This window comes from Homo sapiens, chromosome 10, assembly GCF_000001405.40.
Source record: "Homo sapiens chromosome 10, GRCh38.p14 Primary Assembly".
Taxonomy (NCBI): domain Eukaryota; kingdom Metazoa; phylum Chordata; class Mammalia; order Primates; family Hominidae; genus Homo; species Homo sapiens.
Genome location: NC_000010.11, coordinates 2,208,860 through 2,226,912, shown reverse-complemented (window position 1 = coordinate 2,226,912; position 18,053 = coordinate 2,208,860). Strand labels below are relative to the sequence as shown.

Sequence of the window (18,053 nt, the reverse complement as noted above, 5' to 3'; positions counted from 1 at the left end):
TATTCATGCATATTTGTCATCTCATATCTGATTAAGTTTATCTTTAAAACTTTTTCAAACTTATTAGTTGTATTAACTGTTTTGTTTCCTTGTTTTTGAACTTGGAGAGTTTTTATAGATCTTTATATATCTTGGATACAAGTCCTTTATCAGATACACATCTTGCAAAGATAATTTCAGGTGGTATTTTTGTTGTTCTTCTTACAACATCTTTCAAATAACAGTTCTCAATATAGATGAAGTCTAATTTATGATTTTTTAATTTAATGAATCATGCCTTTCGTGTTATATTAAGAAATCTTTAATTAACCCATGATTAAAAAGGTATTTTTCTATGTTTTCTATAAATTTTATAAATTTAGGTTTTAAAATGAAATATTTTATCCCTTTGACTTAATTTTTCTTCGATTTGAGTTATTTTATTCCTGTCTTCCAGGTCTTTATTCAACTTTTCAATATATTAAATTCAATCATAATAATTGCATCAGTGACTGCTAATTTTAACTTACGTGTCTGATCTAGTTCAATGTTGATTAATTGATAATTTTTCTAAATGTGAGCCTGTTTGTCTGCTTTTCTGCTGTGTCTGGTTGTCTGTAATCAGCTGCCAGGCATTGTGAATTTTTCTCTTGTTGGGGGCTGGAGGTTACTGTTTTATTGGAAATGTGATTGTGCTTTTTGCTAGGACACAGTTAAGCTACTTGGCAAGAGTGTGATTCCTTTGAATCTTGCTTTAAAGAATTTTAGGCACAACCAGAGCATGTGATATTAGTCTAGGCTGATCATGCAGCAAAACAGAAGCAAGGCTGCTCACGACTTTGCCCAGGGCCCCATGAATTACAGGATGTTCTTGTCTGTCAGGATGGCACAGCCCCGGTTTTCAGTCCTGAGTGAGTTCTGGCCCATTCTCTCGGGTTATCCTCCCATGTCCTGGCAAGTATCCTCAGAAGCAGTGACAGGACCCTGCTGTACCCTGAAACCCTGGAGGGGGGTTCCTGCAGCTGTCCTGAGCTGTCTTTCTGAGACAGCCAGGTTGGAAGGGCTCCTGGGCAAAACTCCAACCGACTGGCAACTAGGGCGGAGCCTCGGGAAGTTCGCATCCTATGCAGTGAGGAGGAGCGTGGTCCTTCCTCTTCCTGGAGCCCGCCCCCCTGTTCCTGTGTGGAAACTGGGATTCAATCTGTGAGGCAGGAAGTCTGCAGGATCACGAGCTCTGCCTCGTGTGGAGTCCCTGTTCCCCTCTTTTTCCTTTTTGCCCAATAAATCTCATTATTCTGACTTTTCAAATCGTCTGCAAGCCTAAATTTTGGGGGCCGTGTGAGAAGGACCCTGTCTTTAACTGAACTTAGGAAAAGTCCTGTAACCCTTCTGTGCGTCCCTCGTCCCTCCAGCACCGTGACCTGGAACCTGCACTGCCCTGACTTCTCCTGAGCCGACTCCTCCCTGCCTTGCCGGGACTGCAGCACCTTCCTGGGTTCCCACTCCCTGTGCCATGGCCAGAAGACCCCCTGAGGTCGCCAGGGAAGGAAATCAGCGCCGTTCTTCCTTTCCTGTCCCTTCAGCATCGCTGTGCTTCGTTGCTGAATATCCGGCGTCTTGAAAAACATGGTTTTAGAGACTTTTTCTGGTTTTACATATTCATTGTTTCAGGCAAGAGAGTAAACCCAGGGCCTGTGACTCTACTTGTCCAGAAGTGCATGTCCTCGACATTTTTGATTTTTGCTACAGGGAAATGGCTATAATCTAATAGTAATTATTAAATAGCTCTCCACGTTACAATCGGCTAAAACCACCCTAAGTGTTGCCCTCTGCAAATCGCTGCTCATTTGCTGCCACATCCCTGTATTGGCCACCTCGTGTTGCATGTGACGAGCCGCAAAGCAGGTCAGCACTGGGAGAGACACTGACGGGTCGCCTGGAATAAGAGCCTTAAATCAAAGGGAGCCCTGGAGTAGGGGCAGGCAAAGGCAAGGCTGGGTGGGAGGGCAGACAGAAGCAGAAGACAGACGTGGACATGGAGGAAGAGGGCGGCAGAAGACAAAGAGACAAGAGGTCATCTCTGCATTTTGAGCGGTCACGGACTCCTATCGTCCAAATTATGAGACTTTGTATTTCCGATATTTTAAGTTTGTCTATTATTTTCCCATTTCAATCATTTCTTAAGAACAATGTGGTAATAGAAGTAAATAAAACAAACTCAGTGGGGAAATTTGATGGATTTTAGACATCCACAATGAAAAGCTTTTTTAAAAAATAAATTTTTATATATTTTGGTAACAAGTTCCTAACACCTATGACCAAAAAAAAAACAAACAAACAAAAAAAAAAAACAAAACTGTGAGTGTTTCACATTTAGCTACTTTAAATGTAATTTACACTCTCCGTCCTGCCTCATGTTGTTTAAAGTGTGAATTCGATTCTTCTAAAGTGGTATTTAAGAACTAGTTCAAATCAAATACTTCAGTTTAGTTGTGAAAAAAACACAATTGAAAACATTCCCTTAGAGGGTCTGGGCAGATTCAGAACCTGATCAATCATAAAGATCCACATTTATAATGATTACTTTTTCAGGATCCTACCATCTATGAAGATTCATAGTAAGCTGATTGCTTGAGCTCAGGAATTTGAGACCAGCCTGGGCAACATGGCAAAACCCACCTCTACAAAAAAATACAAAAATTAGCCGGGACTTGTGGTGCACTCCTACAGTCCCAGTTACTCAAGAGGATGATGTGGGAGGATCACCTGAGCTCAGAGGTGGAGGCTGTAGTAAGCCATGATCACACCACTGCACTCCAGTCTGAGTGACAGGAAAAAAAAAAAGGAAAATTCATAGTGATATAATGACATCTGCAGACACGTAAAGGTCTCATGTGAATTATTTATGCTATAATCCTCAATCCCAGGGGCTTTCCGATATTATTATTCGCTTGACCTCAACAGTCAATTATTATAAGTTGAAGTATCATTGTCGAAATAATTGTAATTTTTAAAATGAGCTGAATTCAATTAAGCAATCATAGAACAGGATAATTCCATGTGTAGTGGGCAATAGGAAGATGAGACCAGTAAAGGCAGCTGGGAACGTGGGAACAGTGGTTTAAAGTCAGGCAATTCTGTTGGCCTCTCTAGCACCTGAATTAAGACAGGATTTGTTGCTGTCAAAGAAGTGCAGGGATCAGATTCACGAGCGAGAAATATCTGCAGACTCATAGGGATCAGCTTCATGAGGGAGAAGTATCTGCAGGTCTGCAACATTCCCACATAAAGGTCTCTATGTTCTGCTTCTGGAGAAATTCAATTTCCATCCCAAGAGATGGAGTCTATTATCAAATTATATTATTAAATAAAGACATTATAGATCAAGAATGCATTGGTTGGCTTTTTAAAAAAATGGTAATAAACTCTCTAATGTAAAGGCTTTGAGACATCAGGAACGTGGCATGGCAGAGTAGCCCACGTGATACTGAGAATGATTCAAAGATACTCACCTAAGATGCATTGACCTGGGCTGGTGATTTCTAGGATCACGAAGAGACTGTGTTTGAGAAAGTTTTTCTTTACAGGTGAGGAAATTATATTCAGCACATCCTTCATTTAATGTAAAATAGGAAAATCTCTTTCCACTTCACATTGTCGGGGGAAAGTAGCAGCCATGGTCCAAAGACTCAGAATACTCATTTGAACCAAGGCAGAAGGTTCAGGCCATCAAAATAAGTCGCCCTCTAGGTTAAATTAACCACAGACTTTCAGCTTCTAGAAGGAAACAATTCTAATTGTGAATATCGCTGATTAAATCAGCTACTTGGGGGGAGGCTTAAGCTAGTACATAACTAGACAAATATTGCTGAGAAGCAACTAATTGGGTCAATACAGATTGAAGAAAGAATTGTTTGGGATGTTCAGACAAGGACATCTTTATTGAAGCAGCTAAAAATAGATGAGTGGAAAAATGAATAAGTAAATAAATAAATGAAACAATTAGAGTAAAAAAAAAAAGATGAAACTACATTAACATCATCTTGCATCAGGCCTCCTCCGTATTTTGTACAGAAGTGATAAAACACAAAGGAATGCACACTTACCTCTAACTCTTGGTGTCTTGAATCCGCTCGCGTTCAGGCTCCACGCCAGCACCAGAGTGCTGTGTGTCCCTGTAGACAGACACCAAACCTTCTGAATCCAGAAACCAGGACAGTGTGGCCTGCAAATGTCACCCAGGCAAACAGGTCCCTCCAGACGGCTGGTTTGCCAGGCTTCCCTCTCTGCCAGTTCATTGTAAATTTCATACTCAAGGAATTTGGGTTCTAGACACAGGAATTTCTGTTCTGACTTCACTGCTAAGTTGCTGATTAACTTTGAATATTTGAGTTCTCCTCATACGCAAGTAAAAGGATAAAAGCTTAATAAACTGTAAGAATATTTGCAGTTCTTAATTTCTAAGCTCACTTTGCTGACTTGATACCTGAAAAGGATGGGAAGGCAGAGGCGGGTTTCACTGTCACTTTGCTGTCATAGCAGTAGACGTGCTTGGGCATGGCTGTGAAGGAGACGTCTGGTGTGAATGTTCTGCCGAGATACCTCCAGCCTCTGACTGATGGTTAACCGTGGGCTCTCAGCCTCAACACTCGGACATCCTGGGCTGCATCAGCTGTTGCAGGGACCATCCTGTGCACTGCAGGCTGGTCAGTAGCATCCTCAGATGCTACCTCCTAGATGCCAGGGACACTCCGCAGTGTGACAATAAAATTTTGATCATATGCCACCAAATGTCTCCTGGAGGGCAAAATCGCCCCCACTGCAGAACTGCCGGTGTATGTGAGGCTGAGTGAGACTGTCTATCTATGAATTATTCAATCCATTGCACCTGCTTTTAGTTCCAGAGGTAAGAACCTGCTCTCTGCCAGAAAGAATACGTGGAAGGACTTCCTTGATGCTTGAAGTAATTCACAATGATGACAATGTCTTCATCGACACATCTTTAAAAGACAATGCCAGAGCTTCTTGTGATTATCATAGTTGAGAAAGTGAAAGATTATGTCAACATAGTCATCCCTGACCTGTGGGTTGAGAGGAGATTAGAAATGGAAGTTGGGATAACATGCATTACTTTAACAATTATGAGTTTGGAAACTACCCTCTAGTGGTAACACACACACACACACACACACACACACACACACACATACACACACACACACGCTTCTCTCCCCCCTTAGTGAGCACCTTGAAGACAGGTTCATGGCATATGAACCTTTACAGTCCTGATCTATGCTATGCTCACGGCACACTGTTGATGCTCAGTAAAGTTTATGTTTGTTTGCTCATTAAAATTATAAATTTTAGAAACTGTTACTGAATAAAAGAACACCACAGAGTCCAGAGAATTAGACCTTAAACTTAGGGCTTGCTATTGCACCACAAAGTGAAAGTAAAAGCTCACTAAATAGAGTCATTTTGTCTAGCCAGATTTAAAATTATAAGCATGGGTAGATTTCAACATAAGTTTAACAGTGAGTAATGCATGGAGTATACCATTTCTTACAATTTACTAAATACCAAATCATTTAAAGATGATATACATAAATTTATATATCCCTCTGGGAAGGTATAAATACCCTTTCCTGATAAGGAAAGAAGAAAAACGGATACAGAGGCACCTCTGTCTCTGGTGCTTTATTTAAGATAGGGCTGAATAAAAACAGTAAAGATATTATTAAGAGTATGCCTTACACCAGCTGGAGCTTGTAAAAGAAAAACCATAAATAGTAGTTTAAATTATACAAAGCACTTTCTTGTGCCATTGCTCATTAAATTTCCAAAACAATTCTAAGTGATAGTATTATTTTCATACGTTTTTAATGGATGAGTTGACAAATTTCAGGAAGTCAAAGCCAATTGCTAATGATCATAGAGTCCATTTGCAGCAAATTCAAAGATTTGAATTTGAAATTCTGACTCCAAATCTTCTGCTCCTTCTATTGTACAGGCTTCTATTTGGAAACTTAAATTTTACCCTGGCTGTCAAACAACTAGGAGAGACTCTGATTCATCACCAGGGACTACAGTTCCCTGTGGGACCATGATTTTAAGAATATAAGCAAGTTTACCCAGCAACCTAGGTTGGGAGAGAGTTTTTGAGGATGTGAAGTTAAAAAGGCTCTGTCTAAATCATCCAGAGGCTTGTGGGGCATAATCTGCTCCTGGGTGTTTTTTTCCACAGCATATTAAATTCTGAACATAGCATAAAATGAAATTTATCAGATTACATTTCTAAAAATCCCTGTATTTCCTAGATATATGTTATTTTACTTGACAATCAATTCTTATTGATTTTTTAAAAGAACTAGCTTCTTTTCCGTCCTTCACAAATTAAGCTGTAGATTCTGTCAACCTGTCAACAACACACACATACACATACACCTATGGACACTACACACACATACACACACCCATACATACACACAAATACACACATACACATACACACACACACATATACATATATATAAAGTCAATTTGTTAAATCCTAAAAATCCATCTTTTCTTTAGAAATTGTGACAAGAATTTTGTAACTTTGTAATCTTAAATTTAAAACAACACAGGTATTGCGCATTGGAAATAAATAGTATAATAAACAAAGCAGGTGTACTGAAAATCCTGCATGGGGAGGGCATGGGGAGACCAGGACAGAGGACATCAGGTGGCCTGGAGGGCTAATGTGTTGTGTGAGGACCACAGGTCATACAGTTGTACTGTATGGAATTCATGCTGAATAAGTAGAGTTTAGCTGGTATTGCCCCCCAAAAAAAATACAGAAAAAAATGGGTAACTGTGAGATCATACATGTTAATTTCCTTCACTACAGTAACCTTTTTACTATATATATATATATATATATGTATCCTATAACATCATTTATATACCTTAAATATACGCAATACAATTTAATTTTAAAAAGATACAGCATTAATGACAGAAACTAGTTTATACGTATTGTCAAAGTGAAGATGTTCTTTAAGGTGTCAAAGAGATCATGAACGGAGACAATGTTTAATGATTTCAGTAGGTGAAAAATATCTTAAGAGATTAATTAACAGAATCTAGTTAAGACGATCCAAAATAAAACAAATACGCATTCATAAAATTTAACTATTAAATGACTGAATTATACAGAAACATTATATTCATTATCTTCTATCTATTGAAATAATTTTTTGATTTTGAAAGTAAGTAACCTGAAAAATTACTGTAATTTATGTACAACATTTTTTAGCTTTCACACAGATATATAAAACACATTTTAATCTTATTTTATTCTAGAAAATTGAGACATGGGATTTGTATTCTTCACCGGGACTGCTATGTGTGTTGCTTATACCATACTGAGCATAACATTGAATTAATTGTCCACAGTCATCTAAATATTCAATGTAAAGGGCCAGGGTTTGATCCATTTATCTTGCCTACGAAGCTCATGTTTACAACTTCCTGCTATCTAAAACTTATATCAGGATACATTTAGAAATGTTCCAGTGAATGAAAATTCTATTTCTATAAGGTGACTTAATCAGAACTTTCTAACAGGTTTGCAATTTCTTGAGATGAGAAACATTTTCCCAGGTGGGAAGGAATTAAGAGGCAGTCTAATGAAAATCATTACTCTGAGCATTAAAATGCACCGTTAAGCTTCAGAGATCCTGTGTGTTTCATGGGCTCGTGATTTCCCAGGATGCTTTGTGTTCCAACCAGAAGTGTCTCCACTTTCTAAAGATGGAAGGGCTGATCACCATGATTTGGACACTTCATAACTTCTACTTACACACAAACTACATATGGACATAATATCCTCCTGTGAATTTCTCCCGACTTCATTATCGTTCACATAACCTTCCTTGATCATAAAATGTACATATATGTAGTCTGCTCGAGGCTCATAGTGTGAAGTCAGTCTCTTAACAGTAACTGAACCATTGTCATTCACGTCTGCTTTTCTTTAGGAACATTTTCATCCATCGGGTCTCAAGGTTGATATTCTCTTAAGTATTAACTCCTCACAGCTGGACAGGTTGTTGTTCTTCTTTGTTTTGTTTTTAACTATATTAGATGAACCAATAAACTTCTATCAGTTGGAATAAATCCAAAATTTGTTCTAAATATTGAATTGCCCTGGACTCAAGTTTAGAATATCTCTTCTCTTTCTGTATTGATCACATTAATATGTACAGACTCTTCTGAAATATTGCATTCCTTACCAAAAAGACTTATCATACTTCATTTATTTCAACTTTTTCTTATTCATTTGTTGCAAATTCTACAGTAAAATAATTTCATGAGTCTGAGGTTGGCCTGGACTCTATTAGAATTACTCTTAGAATTATGCAGAACTTCTTTACAATATATACCCATTTTTTGAAAAACTGAATATATTTTGATACAATAAGAGATATACTGGCATTATCACATAAGAGAGACAAGAAGTTAAGGAAAGCTAATTGTGGCTAATGTTTGTACATTGAATATAAATGTATCCTATACATTTGAGTTATATAAATAAAAATAAGTTTGAATAAAAGGGAAATTTGTAAGTTAAAATTTTATATGTAACACGGAAGACATGTTATAAGCCATAATTGTCTATTATACGTTCAATGAGAGTAGATGTAATGATAAATAGTGTTTTATATGTAATCAATATTAATGTAAGCTGACTTAATTTGTAGGCTAGACAAACCTTTAGAAGCCATTGGAAAATGTATGCTTGCTTAAATAAAATCATTCTGTGCTATTTATAAGGCAACAATGTCAATGCCAGCATGTCTTGTTCCAATGCTGAAACAAGAAAAATGATAGACAAATGTCACAAACTGATGATTTTCCTAAGGTTTTTTTTTTTTTTTTTTTTTTTTCAATGTGCATGGAAATAACAGGGTGAGCAGATAGTGGTCTGGAGGAAATTGCTCAACTTCATCAGACAGGGAAGCAGTAACAGGAGAGTCCATAATGGAGGGGCACCAAGGGTGTTCACCCAACCCCGGGGGCAAGTGCATCCCGGACTAGGGCTCCTGCACAGCGTGCAGCTGCTTGAAGAAGATGCTGGAGGCATTCGGGAGGCAGGACCAGTGAATGGGCTGCTTCAGGCACTGATGGACATCTCTGCCTTCTCTCCTCTGCCTGACAGTCAGCACTGTCCTCACTTTCTGAGACATTTGGGCGGTGAACAAAACACCATGGGTAAACATTCCTTCTTGTATCCTGTTTCCCAAGTGCACCTACAGTAATGAGACAACTGGCGAAACATCTGTAAAACGGCAATGCACGGAAACAGACGTTGAACATATGCACACATACGGCCAGGAGGCTCCTTAGGAATCCAGCAATCACAGACTATCCATGCTTTAGAAGCACGGTTTGTTTAAAATAGGATTCCTTTGTTTTATACTTACTGTCCAATGAAAAAGATATTGTCTTTCTTGTCAGTGTTCTTTTAAACAATTAGGTCATGTTGTTTCTCCTAATTGAAACATCTTTTTATTATGCTTGGTGGTGACTTACAGAGAATACTTCACAGAAGCTGGTTTTAGAAAAGCAGCTCTGATTTATAATGGGTGCGGAATATAACTGCAGGTAAAGTGTCTTCTCTAGAGACTGTTACCCTTGTTCCAAGCAAACATTTCACTATCTTATTATCTGTGAGCTCAGAAAGAACTTGTTTAATATTTCATGTAAACAACCAGCTCCTGGGAGAAAGGGAAAGTCTCATGTGTGTGTGTTTACACATGTGTATGTGTGTGCGTATAACATTTTAAGTTAATAAACTTGAGGATTACAAAGTCTTTTAATGCATGGTGACACCATGTCCTCAGAAAGAAAAGCCCTAAAGAAATTTTGATGAACAAATCCACTTCATGATGACTTCTTATCATACTTTGATTTCTTCAATAAAATTTTGACCATATATATGTAGACAAAATAAGATTATTAAAAATTTCAGGAAAAAGCAATGAATATAAAATTAAATAGTATAAAATTTCTATGCTTTCAGTTTAGTAATTATTATATCAGATACACATTTAAAATTGTCTACTTTTTCATATGTTTTATAAATCTATTGAGATGATGATGTATGTTTCTACTTAACTTACTGCTAACATTATTTATAAGATTCCAGTGTGAAGCCATCTTCATTTTTCATATTCAGGTATCATTTTAATATACTGCAAGATAGAATTTCTAATAATTTAATTAAGCATTTGTCTTCATTTCATAGAGAGATGTTTACTTTTCTTCAGCAAATATCATACCTTTTGCTGTGTTAGCATCAGAGTTATGCAGTATCTCTAATAAAAACTATGTATGTATATATAACTGTAGATACCATATACACATATAATATACACACAGACACACACACATGCCTATGTATCCCATTTTTTAAGCTCAAGAAAAAAACTTAAATATCTTGCTTATATAATCAGTTTCATGAAAGTGCTGACAGCATCTGGAATTTATGCTTGGGAAGGGGTTGTTGAAGTCAGCCATTTGCAATAATTTTTATACTTGCTATTGGAGTATATATTTTTAAGTCTAATTTGAACATTAAATTGCCACTCTCTCATCTGCATTAATTTATATTTGAGTAATCTCTGTAAACATCGGGAATTCCCTTTCAAAAACCCAACAGTCTATGTTTATCTTCTCTTTTTGTTCCATGTATATATTTATATGTGTGTATTATGTTGGCATGTGTTTTTTATTTTAAAACTTTGATAAGTATGTTGTTATTATCCTAACACCAGGCTGGCAGAGTCCTTCCTTTCTTCATTGACTGATTTTTCTCTTTATTTTTTTTTTACTACTTTAATTACTGTATTTTAATAGGATGTTTTCATATTTAGTATTTCAAATCCCTTTTACTGTTCTTTTTCAACATTTTCTGGAGTAATGTTGTACATATTCTTTCTCTCTAATATTAGAGTTTGCTTACTAAGTTCCATTACAAATAACATAGCTGAATTTCTGTATTCTAGATTTTCTAGAGGGGTGATTTAAAATACCTTTATGACGTTAAGTATTTTCAATCAGGAAGATGATCTATCTTTTCATTTATGCAGGGCTGGCTTGGCGTCTTTATTTTCTCCCCCAGATTTTAAGTTTTATGGAGCTAGGGAATGAAGACCATGTCTTACTGCCTGCGCACACCATCGGTGTTGGTTGAACAAACAGAAAGAAGTGTCACGTAGGGAAGGTAGCAGTGACCATATATAACTGAGGAAGAAGCACACACTCCTTTGAGTAATTTTGCCAAGATCTCAGGCTGCTCACTGGCTGAGCTGAGATAACACGCTTGTCTCTGGATCCTCGATTAGTGCTCACTACCTCTGTAAACGCGCAGCAAGCGCGAGCTCGTGAGAAATAATAGGATAGAAGACTTCGCGTCGTAAACTAAGACCTTCCCAACATCGAATTTTTTCCATCACATTTTACAAAGCCTGACTCTTCCTTCAATTGATTCGATACGCTGCCACTGCAAGGACTGATAAACAACAATCTAGTAAAGCCTCAGCCCAAAATGCATGTAATACTTTCGAGCAAACGCACAGCCCCTGAGGTTATAGAACGTTACCGGCTCAACCCTGACCCAGACTGAGGACACTCATTCCCTCCTCATGGCTTTCAGGAGAAAGTTCTAGAGGCAGAGGGCAGCCCGAGAGTGAGGTAGGTGGGTGGGCTAGTTCTGATTTTTTGACTTTGCTGCACAAAAGAATTTGAGAGCGAGTCCAAGAGGAGGCACAGAAATGTATTGTGAAGTGAAAGCCCGCTCTGAGGCAGAACGGGCTGCTCAGAGGCAGAGGCGGCCCCTGGTGCCTCGAGGGGAATTCCTTTCATGGGAACTGCACATCCATCTTCATAAAATACTGGTGAGGTCCGGGAGGCAAAGGTGAACCTGTGGTTGGCGCACGTGCTCAGTGTCTGCCAGCTCCAACACGCACCACATGTGTCATTAGTGTAGAAAATCTCCACTTAGAGGTGTGTTTTTTACTATTAATATGAGGAAAAAAGTAGTGGCTTATTCCTCCATCAGCTTTTTCCACTGTAAGCTAAACCTTAAGCCCAGCTGCACATGCAGGACCCCAGAGAGGCCCCGACCACACCCAAGGCAGGAGTTTGTAGCTAACAGCTTCTTGGGCTTTTGGTGCTGATTGTTGGGAGATTGGGGAGGGGATTCTATCCAAAATAAGGGATCTTTGTTCTCTTTCATGGGTTGTCCCAGGTGACAGGAACTTGTAACCACCTGGTGGTCTGCTGGTATCCTGGAGGACTGCTCATCTTGCAAAAGAGCCGGGTGCGCATTCACAAGGGTGCAAGGGACGCGTGATCCACTAGGACAGGAGCCTCAGGGCTTCCACAGGGAACAAGTCAGTATGCCCTCCCTGCTTCAGGAGCAGAGGGTATGGTTGGATCCCCGTTGTAACCTCTTGCTGTCTCTGCCTTTAGTCTATACTGGGCTGCAGCCACAGTGATAGGAAAGACGTAACACAGGGCTGTTTACCCCGAGCTATCGTGCAACAGGTAGAGAAGACGGCGCCTTTCTCCAACAAGGCACCACATGCACACGTCATCACAGCAGGGCCCCCAGATCAAGTAGCGTGTGCGCATTCCTAAATGCCTACGCTAATTGGAAACTCAACACACTGATACCTTAGGTATTACCACTCAAGTTTTATCTGCAGGAAGTGCGGTAATATTGACTCATAAGTTACTCATCATCATACTAAAATTGACAAAAAGTAAGACAATGTGTTAGCAGCGTTTCTTTGCAGAATATCTAGCTTCACAAAAAAAGATAAGCTGAATCATTTGACATAGTAATTAGTAGCTTATGGCACACACTCTACATATAATGTACATATATAATTTTAAATGTACTTTTAAATGTTTTATCACAGAAATATTTGAACATCATTAAAAAAATAATAAATGAAAACTTCTGTCTTCCACCCCCTCTGAAGCATCCTTATCCCCATTTCTGTGCCCCCAAAGATAACTACTAAAATCATTTAATCATTTCTGATATTAAATCACCATGTCCCTAAGTAATAGCTTTATGCTGCTTAATATGAGAAATTATAACCAATATCCCCATGTACTGAGGACTCAGCTACTCCCCATTTTCCCCAGTTCCTCTCCAATATATAGAAATGTTACTCTTTTTAGTATTTTCCACATTCATTATTAAGACCACATGTTATTTCTTCTTCCATTATCTATAGGTACTATCTACTGATTTTTATTTTGTGATATTAATGCTCTTTTATTACTAGGCAAGCTTATAAAATTATCACCAGTTAATATCACAGAGTGTTGCTCAACTTTATATATGTATAAAAGCCCTATTATAGAAATTTCACAGGAAATAACCGTGTCTTAACAGATGGGAAAGAACGGAATACTTTTAGTCAGGGTGGGTTTTCAGATTTTGCCATATCCAAATCACCAACAAAAATGTCTGATAGTTTTTGAAGCTTCCTTGCAAAACAATCATGGTTCAGTCATTATTATTATGGTGAAACATCTTTAGCCAGCACTCTCTATCAGAACAATAAATGGGATTTAAATGGAGAGCTGTTCCCAAAGATTCCTATTTTCTGTCTCTATTTCTGTGTTTCTGAACAGTTACACTGAACAGTTCTTTGTATATTAAAAACTAGGCTATCAAAATATAATGCCAATTTAAGGTACAACAATTACTTACATTACTGTTACTGGGAGGAAAAAAAATGATGTAGTAAATTAATCTTTGTGCAGCAAAGTACTCCTTAAAATAGGTTTTCAGTGTGGATGGTAATGAACTATTGCTATCTCTATGGAACAGACATCTTGAAATAACTATGTCCAAAGTTGTTTAAAATCCGTTCCTGAAAATTTCAGTTTCAGCAAGGCAAGGAAGACTGATTTCTCACTTATAACACCAAACAGCACAAGCCTGTGATTTAGTTTTTTTCCCCAATCCTTTGCTCAATGTAGGGAGCTCCTGAATCAGCTGTGACTTTTACATGCTTTGCTGTGACCTTCCACTGATAATCATAATAATGTTTGGCTGCCAAGTACCCATCAGCTTCATAAAGTCAGCAGCCTTCAGATTCATCTCATAGCATTAATTTTACAAGTTAAAAAGACAAGCAAGACAGACGTGATGGCTTTCAGCATTATTTGCTCCCCTAAAATATTTCCTATGAACAATAAACAAACAAATCTCCAATTTGGTGAAGCTATAAACTTTCAGGCTTCAGAAAAATTAATTTAAATGGATGTGGCAGTGAGTTTGGGCTTGTAAAGATTAGGGAGACGTCTGTTGCTGTAATTGCCTGTGCGGCGCCTCCGTCACTCAGGAGTGCCCAGGCGGCAGTAACAGCGCTCATCAGAATCTAATTCTCAGATCAAATTCCCGTCTTCAACATATCCTTTAATAAGCCTTCCACTCTCCATCTTTTAGCCTTAATTATTGCTCCCTGTCTCCCTTGACAACCAAATTAAAAGGTACAGCTACAACTCCGTAATGGCAATTGTCATAATAACACTTCAAAAATCACAAGCTGCTCCGCGGCAAATCCAGGCTCACCTTGTCAAGGTTGGGTGTCTTCTGATAACTAGATTTTCTATGGATAGCTTCAGCACTGGAAGATAAGAAATACAATTATATAATCTTTTATTGATTTTTTTTTTCTTTTGCTCCCCCTTAGTATTATGTACAATTACCTGGGCAGTTTTTAGAGTGTTAAAGCTGGAAGTGGAAAATTTACAAAGATTCACTGAAGCGGAATGTTTTAACTCTTTGCTGAATACAGTTATTTTTGTTGAAAATTAAAGCCATGATAGAGAGCACGGTGAAAGACTTTTGGTTTTGACTCTGGGCTGCCTGGGTGTATCTACTGACTTTAGCTGTTGTGTGACTTTGTGAAGGTGGCATGATCTGATGCATGAACCTCCCTGTCTTTACTTGTGAATGTGAGTAAAGCAAACTATCATAGCAAAAACAGACCGATTCTACTTTTAATGTGTTATTTTCGACCATGGTTATAAACTTTTCCTTATGCTCTTCCTGAAATGACTTTGTCTTCAAGAGATATATCTACAGACTCCTTGTCTTTCCTAGTGGCATGAACTTCCCACTTTAGGTTTTATTTTCTTTGTAAGCAAAGGATTGACCTCTGATGGTTAACACTTGGAACTTTTTTTAACCACTGACTTGTCTTTTTATTGCTCCGTGGCTCTTCCCTGACCGGCACCATCTTCCATGGGCTCCTATATTTGAGGAGGTGGTTAGTGGTGATGGCTGCGACTGGCGGGTGGTGATGGCTTTTGCCGGTGGGGGTGATGGCTTTTGCTGGTAGGTGTTAGTGGCTGATGGCTGTTGCTGGTGGTAGTGGTTGAGGCTGTAGCTGGTCATGGGTGGTGATGGCTGTTGCTGTTGGGTGGTGATGGTTGTTGCTGCTGGTAGTGGTGATGGCTGTTGCTGGTGGTGGGTGGTGATGGCTGTTGCTGGTGGTGGGTGGTGATGGCTGTTGCTGGTGGTGGGTGGCAGTGGTGATGGCTGTTGTTGGTGGTAGTGGTGATGGCTGTTGCTTGTGGTGGGTGGTGATGGTTCTTTACAGTTAGTGGGGATGTTTACAGTTGTTGGCAAGGTTCTTATGAGCCATTTCACAGAGTAGCCTTGACTAAAACCACATCCTCTCACTACTCAGCTCCGTTTTTATTTTTCTCCATCATTTTCTCCTTAATGTCTTCTCCCTCACTTGTCCTGCCCATAGACTCTCAGTTTTGTAAAAACGACATCTAGGCTTCTGTAAATTCAGAATAATGTGACTGCCATCTTGCATAATTTATAGAAAGCCTTCCAGCCTCAATGAGTGATGTCTGAGGAAAAACATCTGAAGCATTTCTCAGATTTTTAAAATTTTGTATAACATTTGGTGATCTATGTAATATCACATATTCACATCATTGCAGTCATGGCTGGGCTTGACTGAATTTTTCATTTCTTGTGCAGATATTGATCATCAGAAAGGCAGTTAGAGAGAGAGCTCCTGAGACTGTAAAGGGTGTTTTCTGGAGTCACTTTTTCAGAGAGCTAATGAAGGGGTGAGCATAATCCAATGGAGATGGATTTATTTATCCAGGAAAGATGCATGAGGAGGGGAGTGGAATTTACTTTGGCACTAAGATAACAGATACAAACTAAATGGCTCTGTCAAATATTATCAGGGTGGGCCACAGTAGGAATCGTATGAGCAAAAATCTTTTAAATAGCTCACCTGACACAGCAGTCAATTTGGAATAAAAAATAGCAACGTAATTGTGGATTGCGGCTGGAAAAGTCAAGGACAGTGGAAGCAAATATGTAAGGCAGTGTTTTTGTAGATAAGGAGAGCCTGCAAGAAGGCAAGAACTCTAAACCTGGAAGCCTTTAATTACTCAGATACCAGTATTGATTGGGATAGCAACTGCTGGAAATGAGGGCCGGAGATCGGCTTGTAAAAGAAGGGCAGGGCTGTTTTCTTAAGCAGTTTATTGAACTATCTACATGGTCTCAGGCGATCCTAGCTCTAATCCTACCAAACAGGAGGAGCCTCGGGGGAGCGAAGATGTGATGAGACCTTGACTGATGAGTGGCTTCTCCTAGACAGAGATGATTTATGGTGAGAAAACACAAACAAAGGCAGGGTGAAGAAATGTCAAAGAAGATTAAAAGTTAAAGGAGAGCTCACAAGTCACTGACTGGGAAACAATTCGAAAGTGATGGGGGCGTTTAAAAATAGCCCTGTGATGACTTGAGAACTTACAAACATAGCTCCATGATAAGTGAAGAAAACGCACTGAGTGAATGCTGAGAATATCGACCATATACTGGAGATGCTTATACAGCAGCCATTTCATCTCCCTGGCCACTTATGAATTATATTCTATTTTCCACATGATTTAGAGATGAACTTGCCGATGTCCAGGAGGAATAGGAAATTTCCTTTAAGTCATAGTTAATAGCCAAGACAGGCCAGCCTTATGTTGATTAATAAAATACAAACTGCCACCATGTTAAAAAAGCTGATTTCTTAGGAAGACTTGTAAGGCCATTTTAGATATTGATATATATTGGTTATTGGATAGTTTAAGCGACCATGGTTCAAACAAAGATTCGTTTTTATCTAGGTAATTCAAACTCTAGGATTTGCATTTTCCACAAGGTCTGTGTGTTTGAGAATCAGATTGTCATAGTACATGACAGAAAATATGAAATCAGAACCCAGAGGTACTGATGTGAACCTAAGCCTCTCTAGATTCTCCTGAATGGGTTTGGGAAGCTGCCTAACCACCTGTGCTTCAGGATCCTCACCTGTAATACGGATAATAACAGGGGTTCTCGATGGCACTTTGATGAGGAATTTGTTAAGTTAATATTTATAAAGGGGTTAGGAGACTGCTTGGAATATGTGAAGTAGGTTGTAATAAATCTTTAATAATAGCAATGACTAGCCACGTGATTGCTATTTTCAAGGCTTCAAAAATGGCTTAGTGTCCAGGATGAATGTTTAATTTGCACTTACCCATTTGAAAGCAGACACGGAATTTCTTTTTTTCAGGTAATTGAAAGGATGAATAGTTGACCAGAATTAGGAGTGCACAGATCTGGGGACAAGTCCAAATTTGGCAATATGTTTCTTGCATCAACACTGGCAAATTTTCTTTCATTTCGAGCCCAAGTTACATCAAAGGCTTTTTTGATGCTCTAATAAGATAACCTATATACTCATTTATTTATTCAACAATATTTATTGCAAGGCACATGTACAAAGTATGTTCTTAAGAGCTACTGTGAATATCTATACATCTATCTACTTACTCACCTATGTATCTACTAAATTAGCTATATATATAAAAAAGAAAAAATATTTTGTATCTGTGCATTATTATAAGTATTCAAAAGGTATGAAATCTCTATGAAATTTAAACTGTGAACTAAAATAATTATGAAATTGTCAATATAAACTTATAGA

General features: G+C 38.4%; 1 long non-coding RNA gene across 1 annotated transcript, besides 2 other annotated features; it reads right to left on the bottom strand.

The window, feature by feature from the left end:
- Nucleotides 1-1,442: 1,442 nt before the first annotated feature.
- LOC107984168 (uncharacterized) lies at nt 1,443-17,686 on the bottom strand. The gene is made up of 4 exons (XR_001747270.2): nt 17,604-17,686; nt 14,624-14,678; nt 4,086-5,060; nt 1,443-1,915 (listed from the first exon to the last, which is right to left on the bottom strand). It is a non-coding gene; the product is annotated as an uncharacterized LOC107984168 (long non-coding RNA).
- Nucleotides 12,064-13,263: an enhancer, noted in NCBI's record as "P300/CBP strongly-dependent group 1 enhancer chr10:2255844-2257043 (GRCh37/hg19 assembly coordinates)". NCBI's record gives its function as "activates an origin of replication core promoter dependent on BRD2, BRD4, P300/CBP, MED14 and CDK7 cofactors, with strong dependence on P300/CBP, by STARR-seq in HCT116 cells {active_cell/tissue: HCT116}" and the evidence as "EXISTENCE:reporter gene assay evidence [ECO:0000049][PMID:35650434]".
- Nucleotides 16,431-16,631: a silencer, noted in NCBI's record as "peak841 fragment used in MPRA reporter construct". NCBI's record gives its function as "represses an SCP1 promoter by STARR-seq MPRAs in K562 erythroleukemia cells {active_cell/tissue: K562}" and the evidence as "EXISTENCE:reporter gene assay evidence [ECO:0000049][PMID:32103011]".